Source organism: Homo sapiens, chromosome 7 (assembly GCF_000001405.40).
Source record: "Homo sapiens chromosome 7, GRCh38.p14 Primary Assembly".
Taxonomy (NCBI): domain Eukaryota; kingdom Metazoa; phylum Chordata; class Mammalia; order Primates; family Hominidae; genus Homo; species Homo sapiens.
The window spans coordinates 56,358,703-56,375,677 of NC_000007.14; the positions used below are offsets into that span (position 1 = coordinate 56,358,703).

Here is a 16,975-nt window from a genome sequence, read left to right on the forward strand (position 1 = left end):
AAGATGAAAGAATGAGAAGATAAAGGTCCCTCAGCAATATAACTCACAAACATGTTCAGAAGCAGTAAGAAGTTACATTAATTATCTTTTGAAAGTCAATAATCTACATCTTTAATGTATGCATATAGCATAGCTAATGTTCTATCACTGGGTCCATTTATTCAATGAATAATTGCTGCTATGTGTCAGACATTTTTCTAGGCCTAGGAATGGATACATAAGTGAACAAAGCAAAGATTCTGGTTCTTGTAGAGTTTCCATTAAAACACCATTTAGTAAAACTTTTCTTCCCCCAAATTATAAAATCTGTAAGATGATTTAACAACACGTATAAAAGTCATTGTGGGTCAGGCACGGTGGCTCATACCAGGTGTGGTGACTCACAGCACTCTGTCACACAGGCTGGCGTGCAGTGGCGCAATCTCTGCTCACTGCAACCTCTGCCTCCTGGGTACAAGCGATTCTCCTGCCTCAGCTTTCTGAGTAGCAAGGACTACAGGTGCACACCGTCACGCCTGGCTAATTTTTGTACTATTAGTACAAACGGAGTTTCACCATGTTGGCCGGGCTGGTCTCAAACTCCTGACCTCAAAAGATCTGCCCACCTCGGCCTCCCAAAGTGCTGGAATTACAGATGTGAGCCACAATGACCGGACTTATTTTCTACAACTTTGATAACTTTAGCATATATCCCAAATCTGTAAGACATAATATTATAATTCAAATGCAACTCATGGCTTCTCACTGTACTCGTTCTCTAGCTTTTGAATTATTTATTCTAATATCAGTTTTAATTCTGACACAAAAGCATGGGAGTTCTAATCAAAATCCAACATTTTATCATAAAATTTATGAAGAAATTATGAGTAGAATTTAAAAAGGAAAATAGGCCTATTAATTAGATTTGTCTTTGTGGCATTTAACTCTATAATAAATAACATAATATTTTATGCCTATGAGTCCCCAACAAAGCCTCCAGCTTCTATTTAGATATAAAATGTAAAAGTCATTACTGGATCCACAAGCAAGACTATGGTAAAGAAATTTCTCCACCTAACCAGCTCCTTTTACATGATGTTACATGTTTCTTTTGTTTTTTCATTTTGGCAAATATTGATTGTCATCTTCGTGTTTGTCTATGTCCTAAGTGCTGGGATACAGAATCTGAAAAGATGGACACAGGACCTGCCTTCAAGGAGTTCACCCTTTTTTTTTTTTCTTTTTGAGATGGAGTTTTGCTCTTGTTGCCCAGGCTGGAGTGTAATGGTGAGATCTCAGCTCACTGCAACCTCCACCTCTGGGGTTCAAGTGATTCTCCTGCCTCAGCCTCCCAAGTAGCTGGGATTACAGGTCCCGGCCACCACGCCTGGCTAATTTTTGTATTTTTAGTAGAGACAGCATTTCATCATGTTGGTCAGGCTGGTCTCAAACTCCTAACCTCAGGTAGTCGACCCACCTCGGCCTCCCACAGTGCTGAGATTACAGGCATGAGCCACCACACCCTGCTAGGAGTTCACGCTTTAGTTGGGGAAAATATACAATAAGCAAGCCAATTTTTAAAATGACAACTGCAATTAGAGTTAAATGCTACAAAGACAATCTCACAGGAAGATGGGATGTAGAATGATAAGGCTTTCAGAATAGTAAGAGAAACTATTGCTTCTTACGATGTCTGTCTTTCTTTGTATCAGTGCTCAGCTGAGTCTGCAGTGCTTCAGAGGCAGATTTCATTTTATAAAAATCTATGATTTCTCCTTCCAGTTGTTTTTTCTCTTCCTCGAGCTCCCTTATCTCCTCCTGTTGAATCATTTTAAGATGCTCGAACTTGTCCTGCAGCTGTGAAACCAATGTGCAGTTGTGACACCAAAGCACAGTGTGGTTGAACACCCAAAAGAATATGCTTTTTTTCTGATTATCAAACAAACCCAAATCATCACAGTAGAGCATGATCTTAATAACAATCTCAAAAACTCAGGAGTAAACACTCAGATATGGAACTTTTCTTTTCTTTTTTTCCTTTTATAAGATGGAGTCTCACTCTGTTGCCCAGGCTGGAGTGCACTGGTGTGATCTCGGCTCACTGCAACCTCCATCTCCCAGTTCAAGTGATTCTCCTGCCTCAGCCTCTTGAGTAGCTGGGACTACAGGCATGCACCACCACTACAGGCATGTGCCACCACACCTGGCTAATTTTTGTATTTTTAGTAGAGATGGGGTTTTGCCATGTTGGCCAGGCTGCTCTCAAAATCCTGACCTCAGGTGATCCTCCCGCTTTGGCCTCCCAAAGACTTTTTTTTTTTTTTTAAATATAGAGACAAGGTCTCAGTATGTTGCCCAGGCTGGTCTCAAACTCCTGAGCTCAAGTGATCCTCCCACCTCAGCTTCCCAAAGTGCTGGGACTGACTGGATGCAGTGGCTCATGCTTGTAAACTCAGCACTTTGGGAGGCCAAGGTGGGAGGATCGCTTGAGCCCAGGAGTTCAAGACCAGACTGGGTGATATAACACAACAGTAAACTTCAACAGGAGAGAGAATCTGTAAGCTTGAATATAGATCTTCTGAAATTATCTAGTCAGAGGACAAAAAAAAAAAAAAAGAATAAAAAAGAGAAAAGAAGGCTGGACGTGGTGGCTCAAGCCTGTAATCTCAACACTTTGGGAGGCCAAGGCAGGCAGATTAAGAGGTCAGGAGTTCAAGACCAGCCTGGTCAACACGACAAAACCCCATCTCTACAAAAAATACAAAAATTAGCCGGGTGTGGTGGCACACACCTTTAGTCCCAGCTACCTGGGAGGCTGAGGCAGGAGAATCACTTGAACCCAGGAGGCGGAGGTTGGAGTGCAATGTGAGCCGAGACCACACATTGCACTACAGCCTGGGTGACAGAGCACGACTCTGTCTCAAAAAAAAAAAAAAAAAAAAAAAAGAAAGAAAGAAAAAAAAAAGAGAAAGAGAAAAGAAAGCCAACAAGATACCATTAGGCAAACCATTGTCAGGTTATGGGAGTTTGAGAAGGAAAGTAGAGAAAGGAGAAGAAAGCTTATTTAAAGAATGGCTGAAAACTGCCTAAACCATGGGAAAGATTTAGACATCTAAATCCATGAAGCTTAAAGATTCCTAAAGAGGTTCAAACCAAATAGATACTCAACAAGTCACAATATAATCAAATAGTCAAAAGTTAAAGAAACTTTGCAGGTCAGGACAGAATCGAATAATACATTCAAAGTGCTGAAAGAAAAAAACTGCCAGCAACTAATACTATGTCTGACAAAGCTGTCCTTCAGAAAGAAAGAAGAAATAACGTGTTTCCTCGACAAACAAAGCTGAGGGCATTCAGGACCACTAGGTCTACTTTAAAAAAATGCTTAAGGGAGTTTTTCAAGTAAAAATGAATGAAGTTGGGAGTGGTGGCTCATGCCTGTAATCCCATTTTGGGAGGCCGAGGTGGGTGGATCACTTGAGGTCAGGAGGTCAAGACCAGCCTGGCCTACATGGTGAAACCCCACCTCTAGTAAAAATACAAAAAATTAGCCAGTTATGAAGGCCACTGAGATCATGCCACTGCACTCCAGCCTGGGTGACAAAAGTCCAACTACATTTCAAAAACAAAAAACAAAACAACAAAAAAAAAACAAAACATGAGGCCTGGCCTTCTGCTCCTCTCCAACCCTTCCTTCTCTGGGCCCAAGCCACCTTGGCTGAGGAGGGGGCTGAGGAGGTGTGAGCCCCTGCCAGGAACCCCCTGCCCAGACCAAGTACTTGGCCCACAGGCCTGCGTCCAGCGAGGCCTCCCGTGGCGTCAGCATGTTCATGTGGAGGAATGTGGAACCTCGCTCTGTGGCTGTGTTCCCCTGGTACTCTGTCCCCTTCCTGACCCCTCCCTGCAGCCACACGAGGCCCGGCAACCTGCCAGTCACTCAGTGGCCTCCAACCAGAGCAAACAACCTGCCAAGTTGGCAGCTGTTGCTCATGAGCGTCCACCAGGTGGGACAGGGAGTGTTGACCCTGGGCGGCCCCCTGGAGCCACCTGCCCTGAAAGCCCAGGGCCCGGAACCCCACACACTTTGGGGGTGGTGGAACCTGGTAAAAGCCCACCTCCCACCATGGAGGAGGAGCCCTGGGCCCCTAAGGGGAGTCCCTGCTGGACAGTGAGACAGAGAATGACCACGATGATGCTTTCCTCTCCGTCATGTCTCCTGACACCCAGTTGCCTCTACCACTCAGATGATGTCAGGCCCAGTCCCTCAGTGCACTGCGCAAGGAACAGGACTCATCTTCTAAGAAGGATGGACACAGCCCCAACAAATGGGACAAGGACCACATCCGGTGGCCCATGAGTGGTGGTCATGAGCTTCAGCAAGCGGCACCAGGCTCTGGCAGAGCGCACCAGGGTCACCCCAACCAGGATAACTGGACCGTCAGCCAGATCCTGAGCAAGCGGTGGTACACCCTGGGGCCCAATGAGACACAGAAGTACCACGACCTGGCCTTCCAAGTGAAGGTGGCCCACTTGCAACAAGGACCGAAAGAAGTCCAGCTCAGAGGCCAAGCCCACAAGCCAGGGGCTAGCAGGACTGTACAAGGGCTCGTGGGAGCGGAGCATATCAGAGACGGGCACTGCCACTGCCCCTGGGGTGTCCTCTGAACTCCTGTCAGTTGCAGCCCAGACATTCCAGAGCTCGGATACCAAGGAGCAGCTTCTGTGGGGCAGGACAGCTGCACACAGTCAGGGAACCTGGCTCAGCCTGGCCCAAGCCTTCTCCCACGGGGGGTACACAGCCTGGACGGCAGGGAAATAGACCATCAGGCACTACAGGAACTGACACAAGTGGTGTCTGGCACTGCATCATACTCTGGCCCAAAGCCTTCTACTCAGCATGGAGCTCCAGGCCACTTTGCAGCCCCTGGTGAGGGAGGTGACCAGTGGGCAGCCCTGCTGCTGCCCACCTGAGCTGCTCATTCCCAGCACATGGCCAGTGAGGACACAGCGAGTGACGAGGAGCCCATGGTCATCCATGAGGAGGAGGGGGTGACGATGTCATTGCTGATGATGGCTTTAGCACCACTGACACTGATCTCAAGTTCAAGGAGTGGGTGACCGACTGAGAGTGGGGACGACTCTGGGGAGGAGCCAGAGGGCAACAAGGGCTTTGGTGGGAAGGTATCTGCACCTGTCATTCCTTCTTCCTTTACTCCTGCCGCCCCTTGCTGGATCCTGAGCCCCCAGGGTCCCCCGATCCACCTGCAGTTTTTGGCAAAGTCTATGGTCCCACCCCGTCCTCCTCCTACACACTCCTATGCTTCCTCCTCAACCTTGGCACCCACCTCCTTACTGGGCCCAGGAGCCTTCAAAGCCCAGGAGTCTGGTCAGGGCAGCAGAGCCGGCCCCCTGTGGCCCCTACCCCTGGGGACGGGGGCCCAGGGATGCCTTCCAAGGCGACCTGTTTCCTCCCAATGGATCCTGCCACCTTCTGGTGCAAGAGACCTGAAAGTGTGGGCGACCTGGAGCTACCAGGCCCCTCAGTCATCACGGTCCCTCCCAACACTAAGGCTTTCCTAGGCAGGAGCTGGGCTGAGCCACCCAGGGGGCAGAGCCTGAAGAGGAGAAACTGACTGGGCTTTGGGGGTCGGGGCAGAGGGAACCCCACGGACATGGATCCCGCACTGGAGGACCCCACCACGCTCAAATGCAAGATGAGAAGATGCTCCAGCTGCAGCCCAAAGCCCAACACCCCCAAGTGTGCCATGTGTGATGGGAACAGCTTCCCCTTTGCCTGTACAGGTGGGAGAAGCTGAGGACGGGCTCAGGGAACTGGAGACCGAGAAGGCGGTGTCCTCTTCACTGCATGTGCCCTGGACCAGTGCCGGCCCTGATCATGCAGCTCTTCCAGGCCCACTGCTTCTTCCTGTCCACTAGGCCACAGCCGCCCTCCAGGCCCACTATGCACACATCCTCCCCTCCAAGGTTTCTTCTGCCCCTGCCCTGACTCCCAGCCCTGTGGGGGTCCTGACCCCACCTCACCTGGCTCAGACTCTGACGCTGCCCTGGATGCCCCACCACTGCCTCTGCCCGAGAGTCACGTGAGGCTGAGAGTAGGGGCAGGGGCAGCAGTGGTGCCAGTTGGGGGGCAGTCCAGTGGGAGGAGCCTCAGCCTCGCAGGCTGCTCCGTGGGACTGATGACTGCATGATCTTCTGGGCACCTCACGGATCTTCAACTGCAGGTGAAACGGATGCTGGTGGTGGGTGCAGGGCCGCTGGGAGCCGCTGCATGGGTCCCAGAGGCTAGACTGGGGCAGGGGCCAACTGAAGCTGTTGGGGCAGCATGAGCAGGATGTTCTACACACAAACCTTGGAGAAGATGTGTGCATAGCGGGTCCACTGCTGCTGCCCCTGCCCTGACTCCCAGCCCTGTCTGACCCCACCTCACCCTGCTCAGGCTCTGGTGCAACCCTGGCTGCCCTGCCACTGCCTCTGCCCCAGAGTTGGGACCTTGACAGCCTGGCTGGAAGGGGACACCCCAGCCCTGCCTCAACACCTGGGGGTCTCCATAACTACGACAGGCAGGTGAGCGACCCCAAAGAAGATCCCAGGACTCACAGTACCCCCTGAGAACATGGACACTATGTGGGGGTAGCAATGGAGGGCAGGATGGTTATCTTCTCCTGGGTAAAGCCATTTAATCCTTTCAGTTTGGGACGGAATAAGGCCTGCCTCTCTTTTTTCTTTTGAGACGGAGTCTTGCTCTGTCGCCCAGGCTGGAGTGCAGTGGTGCAATCTTGGCTCACTGCAACCTATTCCTGCCGGGTTCACGCCATTCTCCTGCCTCAGCCTTCCGGGTAGCTGGGATTACAGGTGCATGCTACCACGTCCGGCTAATTTTTGTATTTTTAGTACAGACGGGGCTTCATCATCTTGGCCAGGCTGATTTCGATCTCCTGACATCGTGATCCACCTGCCTCCACCTCCCAAAGTGCTGGGATTACAGGCGTGAGCCACCACACCTGGCCAAAGCCTGCTCCTCTTATATATACCCCCTAGCCCTGCAGCTGTGCCGGGGGAAAGCTGGGCAGTTTCCCTCCTCCGAGCCCCTGTACATACCATGAAGTGTGGGACCTTCAGAGCTTTTCACTTTTTGGAAAATAGCTCCTGCTGGGGCTACAAGATGGAGTGTGAGGAGGGCCTTGGGCCACAGGGAGGTGCCTGTGGACTAGGGGGAGTTCATGTACCCCTTCTTTCCCCAGAGGGGCTGGACTCAGGTGAGTATGGGGGTGGGGGCTCCTGCACTTCGACACAGGCAGCGGGAGGGTTTTCTCACCATTCCCTCTGCACTCCCAACTTGAGCTGTACTTTTTAAGAAAGTGATTCACCCTGCCTTTGCTCCCTTCCCCAGAACAGAACACGTTGATCATGGGCGGTATTTTTCATTGTGCCAAAAAGTTGCCATGACCATCATTAAACCTGTTTTAACACCAAATAATAAGGAAAATAAATAAAAAATTCGAACTTGGTGCAGAAACTCACTCCAAATAAATTACCTTCGAAAATATTTATATAATGGTAGAAATATTCCAAAATTCCATATTTTGGGATTTATACACAAAAGATAAACAAATTAGAGGCCAAGAGGCTGCCAGAAGGGAAAAACGGGGCCTGGAAAGGCCATTGTGAGGAATGAGCTGGGCCTAAAGAGGCCACTGGCAGGCAGGAGCTGGGACTGCCAAAGCCACCGAAAGGCAGGAGCTTTGGACTGGGGAGGCTACAGTGAGGCGAGAGCTAGCTGGGCGTGGAGAGTCCACTGTGAAGCCGAGGCCGGGCACGTGCAGGCCTTCAAGAGGCAGGAAGCCGGGCCTGCAAAGGCCGACTGGAGGTCAAGTTCTGGGCCTGAAGAGGCCACCAAAAGTCAAAAGCGGGGCCTAGGAAGGCCGCTGAGAGCCATGAGCTGGGCTGGGCCGAAAGAGGCCACTGGGAGGCAGGAGAGGCTGGGCCTGGAGAGGCTGACTCGAGGAAGTTTTGCACCTGGAGAGGCCGCCGAGAGGACGGAGCTGGGCCCGGGGAGGCCAACTTGCAGCTCTTCCAGGCCCACTTCCAGGATGACTTGAGTACGACTTAGGCATGCAGAGGCCGCCGGGAGGCTGGAGCTGGGCCTGGAGAGGCCGACTTCAGGACGATTTGGGCCTGCAGAGGCCGCCGGGAGGCGCAAGATGGGCCTAGAGGAACCCACCGACCGGAGGCCGTTGGGGGCCTGGAGACGCCGTCGGAGGGCAGGAGCTGAGCCTGGAGAGGCCACCGTGAGGCCTGACCTGGGCCTGGGGAGCTTGGCTTCAGGAAGTTGTGGGCCTACCAGGGCCACTGGGAGCTGGGCGGGAGCTGAGTCCAAAGAAGTTGTTGGGAGGCCGGAGTCGGGCGTGGAGACGCAGCTGGGAGGAAGAGCTGGGCCCGGAGAGGATGCCGGGAGGCTGCAAGTGGGTCTGGAGAGGCCGACTTGAGGAGGCCCGGCCTCTGCCTCCCGCATGGCGGCCTCTGCAGGCCCAGCTGTTCCTCCTGGCTGCATCTCTCGGCCCACATCCTGCCTCACAGCAAGCAAGCTCTTTTGGCTCAGCTCCCACCGGCGTTTGTAGACCCTGAAGTTTCTGCAGCCAAGCTCTTCAGGCCCACATCCTGCCTCCCGGTGGCCTGTACAGTCCCAGCTCTGGCAGCAGAAGAGCGTCTGCAAGCCCCGCTGTGGCCTCCCAGGGGCATATCCAGGCCCAGCTCTCCCCCCACTGCGGCCTCCCGGGGCCAAGTCCCTGCCTGCTCCCGGCAGCCTGCGTGCGGCCCTGCTCCTCCCTCACGGGGGCCTGTTGAGGCAGGGGCTCACGCGGACCTCTCTCGGCGTGGGAGGGGCCGGTGTGAGGCAAGGGGCTCACGCTGACCTCTCTCGGCGTGGGAGGGGCCGGTGTGAGGCAAGGGGCTCACACCGACCTCTCAGCATGGGAGGGGCCGGTGTGAGGCAAGGGGTCACGCTGACCTCTCTCTGCATGGGAGGCGCCGGCGTGAGCCAAGGGGTCAGCGTGGGAGGGGCCAGTGTGAGGCAAGGGGCTCACACCGACCTCTCTCAGGGTGGGAGGGGCCAGTGTGAGGCAAGGGGCTGACGCCGACCTCTCTCAGCGTGGGAGGGGCCAGTGTGAGGCAAGGGGCTCATGCCGACATTTCTCAGCGTGGGAGGGGCCAGTGTGAGGCAAGGGGCTCACGCTGACCTCTCGGCGTGGGAGGGGCCAGTGTGAGGCAAGGGGCTCACGCTGACCTCTCTCTGCGTGGGAGGGGCCGGTGTGAGGCAAGGGGTCAGCGTGGGAGGGGCCAGTGTGAGGCAAGGGGCTCACGCCGACCTCTCAGCGTGGGAGCGGCAGGTGTGAGGCAAGGGGACACGCTGACCTCTCTGCGTGGGAGGGGCCGGTGTGAGCCAAGGGGTCAGCGTGGGAGGGACCAGTGTGAGGCAAGGGGCTCACACCCACCTCTGTCAGGGAGGGAGGGGCCAGTGTGAGGCAAGGGGCTCATGCCGACCTCTCTCAGCATGGGAGGGGCCAGTGTGAGGCAAGGGGCTCACGCTGACCTCTCTGCGTGGGAGGGGCCGGTGTGAGGCAAGGGCTCACGCTGACCTCTCTCGGCCTGGGAGGGGCCGGTGTGAGGCAAGGGGTCAGCGTGGGAGGGGCCGGTGTGAGGCAAGGGGCTCACACCAACCTCTGTCAGCGTGGGAGTGGCCAGTGTGAGGCAAAGGGCTCATGCGGACCTCTCTCAGTGTGGGAGGGTCCGGTGTGAGGCAAGGGGTCAGCATGGGAGGGGCTGGTGTGAGGCAAGGGGCTCACACCAACCTCTGTCAGGGTGGGAGGGGCCAGTGTGAGGCAAGGGGCTCATGCGGGCCTCTCTCAGCGTGAGAGGGGCCGGTGTGAGGCAAGGGGCTCACGCCGACGTCTCTCAGCGTGGCAGGGGCCAGTGTGAGGCAAGGGCTCACGCTGACCTCTCTCAGCGTGAGAGGGGCCGGTGTGAGGCAAGGGGCTCATGCGGCCCTCTCTCAGCGTGGGAGGGGACGGTGTGAGTCAAGGGGCTCACGCCGACCTCTCAGCATGGGAGGGGCCGGTGTGAGGCACGGGGTCACGCTGACCTCTCTCTGCGTGGGATGTGCCGGCGTGAGCCAAGGGGTCAGCGTGGGAGGGGACAGTGTGAGGGAAGGGGCTCACACCTTCCTCTCTCAGGGTGGGAGGGGCCAGTGTGAGGCAAGGGGCTCACGCCGACCTCTCTCAGCATGGGAGGGGCCAGTGTGAGGCAAGGGGCTCATGGCGACCTCTCTCAGCGTGGGAGGGGCCTGTGTGAGGCAAGGGGCTCACGCTGACCTCTCGGCGTGGGAGGGGCCGGTGTGAGGCAAGGGGCTCACGCCAACGTCTCTCAGCGTGGCAGGGGCCAGTGTGAGGCAAGGGCTCACGCTGACCTCTCTCAGCGTGGGAGGGGCCACTGGGAGGCAAGGGCTCATGCTGACCTCTCTCGGCGTGGGAGGGGCCGGTGTGAGGCAAGGGATCAGCGTGGGAGGGGCCAGTGTGAGGCAAGGGGCTCACGCCGACCTCTCTCAGTGTGGGAGGGGCCGGTGTGAGGCAAGGGCTCATGCCGACCTCACTCAGCGTGGGAGGAGCCAGTGTGAGGTAGCGACTCGCGCCTCTGGGCAGGGTGCCAGAGGCATGAGTTGGGCATCAACAGGCCACCGTGAGGGAGGAAGTGGCCCGCACGCGGGCTGCCGGGAGGCAGGCAGGGATTTGGCCCCAGGAGGCCGCCGTGGGGGTGAGAGATGGGCCTGGAGAGGCCCCTGGGAGGCAAGAGCGGGTCCTGCAGAGGCTGTTCTACAGCCAGAGCTGGGCCTGTACAGGCCACCGAGAGGCAGTAGGTGGGCCCGAAGAGCTTGGCTTGAGAAAGTTCGGGGCCTACAAAGGCGGCTGGGAGCTGGGCAGGAGTTGAGCCAAAAGAGCTTGCTTACTTGCTGGGAGGCAGGGCCGGGAGAAGCTGACTTCAGGACGACTTGGGCCTGCAGAGGTCGCCAGGAGGCCCAAGCTGGGAGTGGAGGAGCCCACCGACCAGAGACCATTTGGGGCCTGGAGACGCCATCGGAGGGCAGGAGCTGATCCTGGAGAGGCCACCGTGAGGCCTGACCTGGGCCTGGGGAGCTTGGCTTGAGGAAGCTGTGGGCGGACCAAGGCCGCCAGGAGATGGGCAGGCGCTGAGTCCAAAGAGGTTGTTGGGAGGCAGCAGTCGGGCCTGGAGACGGAGCCGGGAGGAAGAGCTGGGCCCGGCGAGGACACCGGGAGGCTGCAAGTGGTTCTGGAGAGGCCGACTTGAGGAGGCCCGGCCTCTGCCTCAAGCATGGCGGCCTCTGCAGGCCCAGCTGTTCCTCCTGCCTCCCAGCAAGCAAGCACTTTTGGCTCAGCTCCCGCCGGCGTTTGTAGACCCCGAAGTTTCTGCAGCAAAGCTCTTCAGGCCCACATCCTGCCTCCCAGTGGCCTGCACCCAGAGTCCCAGCTCTGGCAGCAGAAGAGCGTCAGCAGGCCCCGCTGTTGCCTCCCAGGGGCGTCTCCAGGCCCAGCTCTCGCCCCACCACGGCCTCCCGCGGCCAAGTCCCTGCCTGCTCCCGGCAGCCTGCGTACGGCCCTGCTTCTCCCTCACGGTGGCCTGTTGAGGCAGGGGCTCACGCTGACCTCTCTCGGCGTGGGAGGGGCCAGTGTGAGGCAAGGGGCTCACGCTGACCTCTCTCGGCGTGAGAGGGGCCGGTGTGAGGCAAGGGGCTCACGCTGACCTCTCTCTGCGTGGGAGGGGCCGGTGTGAGCCAAGGGGTCAGTGTGGGAGGGGCCGGTGTGAGGCAAGGGGCTCACGCCGACCTCTCTCAGCGTGGGAGGAGCCAGTGTGAGGCAGGGACTCACGCCTCTGCGCAGGGTGCCAGCGGCATGAGTTGGGCATCAACAGGCCACCGTGAGGGAGGAACTGGGCCGCACGCGGGCTGCCGGGAGGCCGCCGTGGGGGCGAGAGCTGGGCCTGGAGAGGCCCCTGGGAGGCAAGAGCGGGACCTGCAGAGGCTGTTCTACCGCCAGAGCTGGGCCTGTACAGGCCACCGAGAGGCAGTAGGCGGGCGCGAAGAGCTTGGCTCGAGAAAGTTCGGGGCCTACAAAGGCGGTTTTGAGCTGGGCAGGAGTTGAGCCCAAAGAGCTTGCTTACTTGCTGGGAGGCAGGGCCGGGAGACGCCGACTTCAGGACGACTTGGGCCTGCAGAGGTCGCCAGGAGGCCCAAGCTGGGCGCGGAGGAGCCCACCGACCGGAGACCGTTTGGGGCCTGGAGACGCCATCGGAGGGCAGGAGCTGATCCTGGAGAGGCCACCGTGAGGCCTGACCTGGGCCTGGGGAGCTTGGCTTGAGGAAGCTGTGGGCCGACCAAGGCCGCCAGGAGATGGGCAGGCGCTGAGTCCAAAGAGGTTGTTGGGAGGCAGCAGTCGGGCCTGGAGACGCAGCCGGGAGGAAGAGCTGGGCCCGGAGAGGACGCCGGGAGGCTGCATGTGGGTCTGGAGAGGCCGACTTGAGGAGGCCCGGCCTCTGCCTCCCTCATGGCGGCCTCTGCAGGCCCAGCTGTTCCTCCTGGCTGCATCTCTCGGCCCAGCTCCTGCCTCCCAGCAGGCAAGCTCTTTTGGCTCAGCTCCCTCCAGCGTTTGTAGACCCCGAAGTTTCTGCAGCCAAGCTCTTCAGGCCCACATCCTGCCTCCCGGTGGCCTGTACAGTCCCAGCTCTGGCAGCAGAAGAGCGTCAGCAGGCCCCGCTGTTGCCTCCCAGGGGCGTCTCCAGGCCCAGCTCTCGCCCCACCACGGCCTCCCGCGGCCAAGTCCCTGCCTGCTCCCGGCAGCCTGCGTACGGCCCTGCTCCTCCCTCACGGTGGCCTGTTGAGGCAGGGGCTCACGCTGACCTCTCTCGGCGTGGGAGGGGCCGGTGTGAGGCAAGGGCTCACGCTGACCTCTCTCGGCGTGGGAGGGGCCGGTGTGAGGCAAGGGGCTCACGCTGACCTCTCTCGGCGTGAGAGGGGCCGGTGTGAGGCAAGGGGCTCACGCTGACCTCTCTCTGCGTGGGAGGGGCCGGTGTGAGCCAAGGGGTCAGTGTGGGAGGGGCCGGTGTGAGGCAAGGGGCTCACGCCGACCTCTCTCAGCGTGGGAGGAGCCAGTGTGAGGCAGGGACTCACGCCTCTGCGCAGGGTGCCAGCGGCATGAGTTGGGCATCAACAGGCCACCGTGAGGGAGGCACTGGGCCGCACGCGGGCTGCCGGGAGGCCGCCGTGGGGGCGAGAGCTGGGCCTGGAGAGGCCCCTGGGAGGCAAGAGCGGGACCTGCAGAGGCTGTTCTACCGCCAGAGCTGGGCCTGTACAGGCCACCGAGAGGCAGTAGGCGGGCGCGAAGAGCTTGGCTCGAGAAAGTTCGGGGCCTACAAAGGCGGTTTTGAGCTGGGCAGGAGTTGAGCCCAAAGAGCTTGCTTACTTGCTGGGAGGCAGGGCCGGGAGACGCCGACTTCAGGACGACTTGGGCCTGCAGAGGTCGCCAGGAGGCCCAAGCTGGGCGCGGAGGAGCCCACCGACCGGAGACCGTTTGGGGCCTGGAGACGCCATCGGAGGGCAGGAGCTGATCCTGGAGAGGCCACCGTGAGGCCTGACCTGGGCCTGGGGAGCTTGGCTTGAGGAAGCTGTGGGCCGACCAAGGCCGCCAGGAGATGGGCAGGCGCTGAGTCCAAAGAGGTTGTTGGGAGGCAGCAGTCGGGCCTGGAGACGCAGCCGGGAGGAAGAGCTGGGCCCGGAGAGGACGCCGGGAGGCTGCATGTGGGTCTGGAGAGGCCGACTTGAGGAGGCCCGGCCTCTGCCTCCCTCATGGCGGCCTCTGCAGGCCCAGCTGTTCCTCCTGGCTGCATCTCTCGGCCCAGCTCCTGCCTCCCAGCAGGCAAGCTCTTTTGGCTCAGCTCCCTCCAGCGTTTGTAGACCCCGAAGTTTCTGCAGCCAAGCTCTTCAGGCCCACATCCTGCCTCCCGGTGGCCTGTACAGTCCCAGCTCTGGCAGCAGAAGAGCGTCAGCAGGCCCCGCTGTTGCCTCCCAGGGGCGTCTCCAGGCCCAGCTCTCGCCCCACCACGGCCTCCCGCGGCCAAGTCCCTGCCTGCTCCCGGCAGCCTGCGTACGGCCCTGCTCCTCCCTCACGGTGGCCTGTTGAGGCAGGGGCTCACGCTGACCTCTCTCGGCGTGGGAGGGGCCGGTGTGAGGCAAGGGCTCACGCTGACCTCTCTCGGCGTGGGAGGGGCCGGTGTGAGGCAAGGGGCTCACGCTGACCTCTCTCGGCGTGAGAGGGGCCGGTGTGAGGCAAGGGGCTCACGGTGACCTCTCTCTGCGTGGGAGGGGCCGGTGTGAGCCAAGGGGTCAGTGTGGGAGGGGCCGGTGTGAGGCAAGGGGCTCACGCCGACTCTCTCAGCGTGGAGGAGCCAGTGTGAGGCAGGACTCACGCCTCTGCGCAGGGTGCCAGCGGCATGCTTGGGCATCAACAGGCCCCCGTGAGGGAGGAACTGGTCCGCACGCGGGCTGCCGGGAGGCCGCCGTGGGGGCGAGAGCTGGGCCTGGAGAGGCCCCTGGGAGGCAAGAGCGGGACCTGCAGAGGCTGTTCTTCCGCCAGAGCTGGGCCTGTACAGGCCACCGAGAGGCAGTAGGCGGGCGCGAAGAGCTTGGCTCGAGAAAGTTCGGGGCCTACAAAGGCGGTTTTGAGCTGGGCAGGAGTTGAGCCCAAAGAGCTTGCTTACTTGCTGGGAGGCAGGGCCGGGAGACGCTGACTTCAGGACGACTTGGGCCTGCAGAGGTCGCCAGGAGGCCCAAGCTGGGCGCGGAGGAGCCCACCGACCGGAGACCGTTTGGGGCCTGGAGACGCCATCGGAGGGCAGGAGCTGATCCTGGAGAGGCCACCGTGAGGCCTGACCTGGGCCTGGGGAGCTTGGCTTGAGGAAGCTGTGGGCCGACCAAGGCCGCCAGGAGATGGGCAGGCGCTGAGTCCAAAGAGGTTGTTGGGAGGCAGCAGTCGGGCCTGGAGACGCAGCCGGGAGGAAGAGCTGGGCCCGGAGAGGACGCCGGGAGGCTGCATGTGGGTCTGGAGAGGCCGACTTGAGGAGGCCCGGCCTCTGCCTCCCTCATGGCGGCCTCTGCAGGCCCAGCTGTTCCTCCTGGCTGCATCTCTCGGCTCAGCTCCTGCCTCCCAGCAGGCAAGCTCTTTTGGCTCAGCTCCCTCCAGCGTTTGTAGACCCCGAAGTTTCTGCAGCCAAGCTCTTCAGGCCCACATCCTGCCTCCCGGTGGCCTGTACAGTCCCAGCTCTGGCAGCAGAAGAGCGTCAGCAGGCCCCGCTGTTGCCTCCCAGGGGCGTCTCCAGGCCCAGCTCTCGCCCCACCACGGCCTCCCGCGGCCAAGTCCCTGCCTGCTCCCGGCAGCCTGCGTACGGCCTGCTCCTCCCTCACGGTGGCCTGTTGAGGCAGGGGCTCACGCTGACCTCTCTCGGCGTGGGAGGGGCCGGTGTGAGGCAAGGGCTCACGCTGACCTCTCTCGGCGTGGGAGGGGCCGGTGAGAGGCAAGGGGCTCACGCTGACCTCTCTCGGCGTGAGAGGGGCCGGTGTGAGGCAAGGGGCTCACGCTGACCTCTCTCTGCGTGGGAGGGGCCGGTGTGAGCCAAGGGGTCAGTGTGGGAGGGGCCGGTGTGAGGCAAGGGGCTCACGCCGACCTCTCTCAGCGTGGGAGGAGCCAGTGTGAGGCAGGGACTCACGCCTCTGCGCAGGGTGCCAGCGGCATGAGTTGGGCATCAACAGGCCACCGTGAGGGAGGAACTGGGCCGCACGCGGGCTGCCGGGAGGCCGCCGTGGGGGCGAGAGCTGGGCCTGGAGAGGCCCCTGGGAGGCAAGAGCGGGACCTGCAGAGGCTGTTCTACCGCCAGAGCTGGGCCTGTACAGGCCACCGAGAGGCAGTAGGCGGGCGCGAAGAGCTTGGCTCGAGAAAGTTCGGGGCCTACAAAGGCGGCTGGGAGCTGGGCAGGAGTTGAGCCCAAAGAGCTTGCTTACTTGCTGGGAGGCAGGGCCGGGCGACGCCGACTTCAGGACGACTTGGGCCTGCAGAGGTCGCCGGGAGGCCCAAGCTGGGCGTGGAGGAGCCCACCGACCGGAGACCATTTCGGGTCTGGAGACGCCATTGGAGGGCAGGAGGTGATCCTGGAGGCCACCGTGAGGCCTGACCTGGGCCTGGGGAGCTTGGCTTGAGGAAGCTGTGGGCCGACCAAGGCCGCCAGGAGATGGGCAGGCGCTGAGTCCAAAGAGGTTGTTGGGAGGCAGCAGTCGGGCCTGGAGACGCAGCCGGGAGGAAGAGCTGGGCCCGGAGAGGACGCCGGGAGGCTGCAAGTGGGTCTTTAGAGGCCGACTTGAGGAGGTTCTGGGCCCGGAGAGGCCGCCGGAAGGGAAAAACTGGGCCTGGAAAGGCCGTTTTGAGGAATGAGCCCCATGGGCCTGAAGAGGCCACTGGCAGTTGGGAGCTGGGCCTGCGGAAGTGGCGGAGAGGCAGGAGTTTTGGACTCGGGAGGCCGCAGTGAGGCGAGAGGTAGCTGGGCGTGGAGAGTCCGCTGTGAGGCCGATGGTGGGCCTGTGCAGGCCTTTGCGAGGCAGGAGCTGGCCCTGGACAGGCCGACTTGATGACAGTCTGGGCCTGGAGAGGCCGCCGGGAGGAAGAGCTGGGCCTGGAGAGGCCGACTGGAGGAAGTCCAGAGCCTGAAGAGGATGCAAAGCAGCAAACACTAGGCCTGGAAAGGCTGCCCTGAGGCACGGGCTTGGCCTAGAGAGGCCACTGGGAGGCAGGAGCTGGGCCCGCAGAGGTTCCCGAGAGCGGGGAGCATTGCCCCAGGAGGCCACGGTGAGAAAGATGTGGGCCTG

General features: G+C 59.8%; 7 pseudogenes, besides 8 other annotated features; 1 reads left to right on the plus strand and 6 right to left on the minus strand.

The window, feature by feature from the left end:
- SEPTIN14P24 (septin 14 pseudogene 24) lies at positions 1,461–1,838 on the minus strand (annotated as a pseudogene).
- Positions 3,714–5,541, plus strand: CICP8 (capicua transcriptional repressor pseudogene 8; annotated as a pseudogene).
- On the minus strand, positions 7,406–8,647 carry LOC731631 (putative uncharacterized protein FLJ44672; annotated as a pseudogene).
- Positions 11,412–12,019: an enhancer, noted in NCBI's record as "OCT4-H3K27ac-H3K4me1 hESC enhancer chr7:56437807-56438414 (GRCh37/hg19 assembly coordinates)". NCBI's record gives its function as "activates a minimal SCP1, AML or CMV promoter by ChIP-STARR-seq in primed H9 embryonic stem cells {active_cell/tissue: H9 hESC(primed)}" and the evidence as "EXISTENCE:reporter gene assay evidence [ECO:0000049][PMID:30033119]".
- LOC100419985 (uncharacterized) lies at positions 11,936–13,049 on the minus strand (annotated as a pseudogene).
- Positions 12,020–12,625: an enhancer, noted in NCBI's record as "OCT4-H3K27ac-H3K4me1 hESC enhancer chr7:56438415-56439020 (GRCh37/hg19 assembly coordinates)". NCBI's record gives its function as "activates a minimal SCP1, AML or CMV promoter by ChIP-STARR-seq in primed H9 embryonic stem cells {active_cell/tissue: H9 hESC(primed)}" and the evidence as "EXISTENCE:reporter gene assay evidence [ECO:0000049][PMID:30033119]".
- Positions 12,626–13,231: an enhancer, noted in NCBI's record as "OCT4-H3K27ac-H3K4me1 hESC enhancer chr7:56439021-56439626 (GRCh37/hg19 assembly coordinates)". NCBI's record gives its function as "activates a minimal SCP1, AML or CMV promoter by ChIP-STARR-seq in naive and primed H9 embryonic stem cells {active_cell/tissue: H9 hESC(naive and primed)}" and the evidence as "EXISTENCE:reporter gene assay evidence [ECO:0000049][PMID:30033119]".
- Positions 13,232–13,837: an enhancer, noted in NCBI's record as "OCT4-H3K27ac-H3K4me1 hESC enhancer chr7:56439627-56440232 (GRCh37/hg19 assembly coordinates)". NCBI's record gives its function as "activates a minimal SCP1, AML or CMV promoter by ChIP-STARR-seq in primed H9 embryonic stem cells {active_cell/tissue: H9 hESC(primed)}" and the evidence as "EXISTENCE:reporter gene assay evidence [ECO:0000049][PMID:30033119]".
- On the minus strand, positions 13,234–14,347 carry LOC100533648 (uncharacterized; annotated as a pseudogene).
- Positions 13,838–14,445: an enhancer, noted in NCBI's record as "OCT4-H3K27ac-H3K4me1 hESC enhancer chr7:56440233-56440840 (GRCh37/hg19 assembly coordinates)". NCBI's record gives its function as "activates a minimal SCP1, AML or CMV promoter by ChIP-STARR-seq in naive and primed H9 embryonic stem cells {active_cell/tissue: H9 hESC(naive and primed)}" and the evidence as "EXISTENCE:reporter gene assay evidence [ECO:0000049][PMID:30033119]".
- Positions 14,446–15,051: an enhancer, noted in NCBI's record as "OCT4-H3K27ac-H3K4me1 hESC enhancer chr7:56440841-56441446 (GRCh37/hg19 assembly coordinates)". NCBI's record gives its function as "activates a minimal SCP1, AML or CMV promoter by ChIP-STARR-seq in naive and primed H9 embryonic stem cells {active_cell/tissue: H9 hESC(naive and primed)}" and the evidence as "EXISTENCE:reporter gene assay evidence [ECO:0000049][PMID:30033119]".
- Positions 14,529–15,183, minus strand: LOC100419986 (uncharacterized; annotated as a pseudogene).
- Positions 15,052–15,657: an enhancer, noted in NCBI's record as "OCT4-H3K27ac-H3K4me1 hESC enhancer chr7:56441447-56442052 (GRCh37/hg19 assembly coordinates)". NCBI's record gives its function as "activates a minimal SCP1, AML or CMV promoter by ChIP-STARR-seq in naive and primed H9 embryonic stem cells {active_cell/tissue: H9 hESC(naive and primed)}" and the evidence as "EXISTENCE:reporter gene assay evidence [ECO:0000049][PMID:30033119]".
- Positions 15,658–16,263: an enhancer, noted in NCBI's record as "OCT4-H3K27ac-H3K4me1 hESC enhancer chr7:56442053-56442658 (GRCh37/hg19 assembly coordinates)". NCBI's record gives its function as "activates a minimal SCP1, AML or CMV promoter by ChIP-STARR-seq in naive and primed H9 embryonic stem cells {active_cell/tissue: H9 hESC(naive and primed)}" and the evidence as "EXISTENCE:reporter gene assay evidence [ECO:0000049][PMID:30033119]".
- On the minus strand, positions 15,825–16,951 carry LOC100533649 (uncharacterized; annotated as a pseudogene).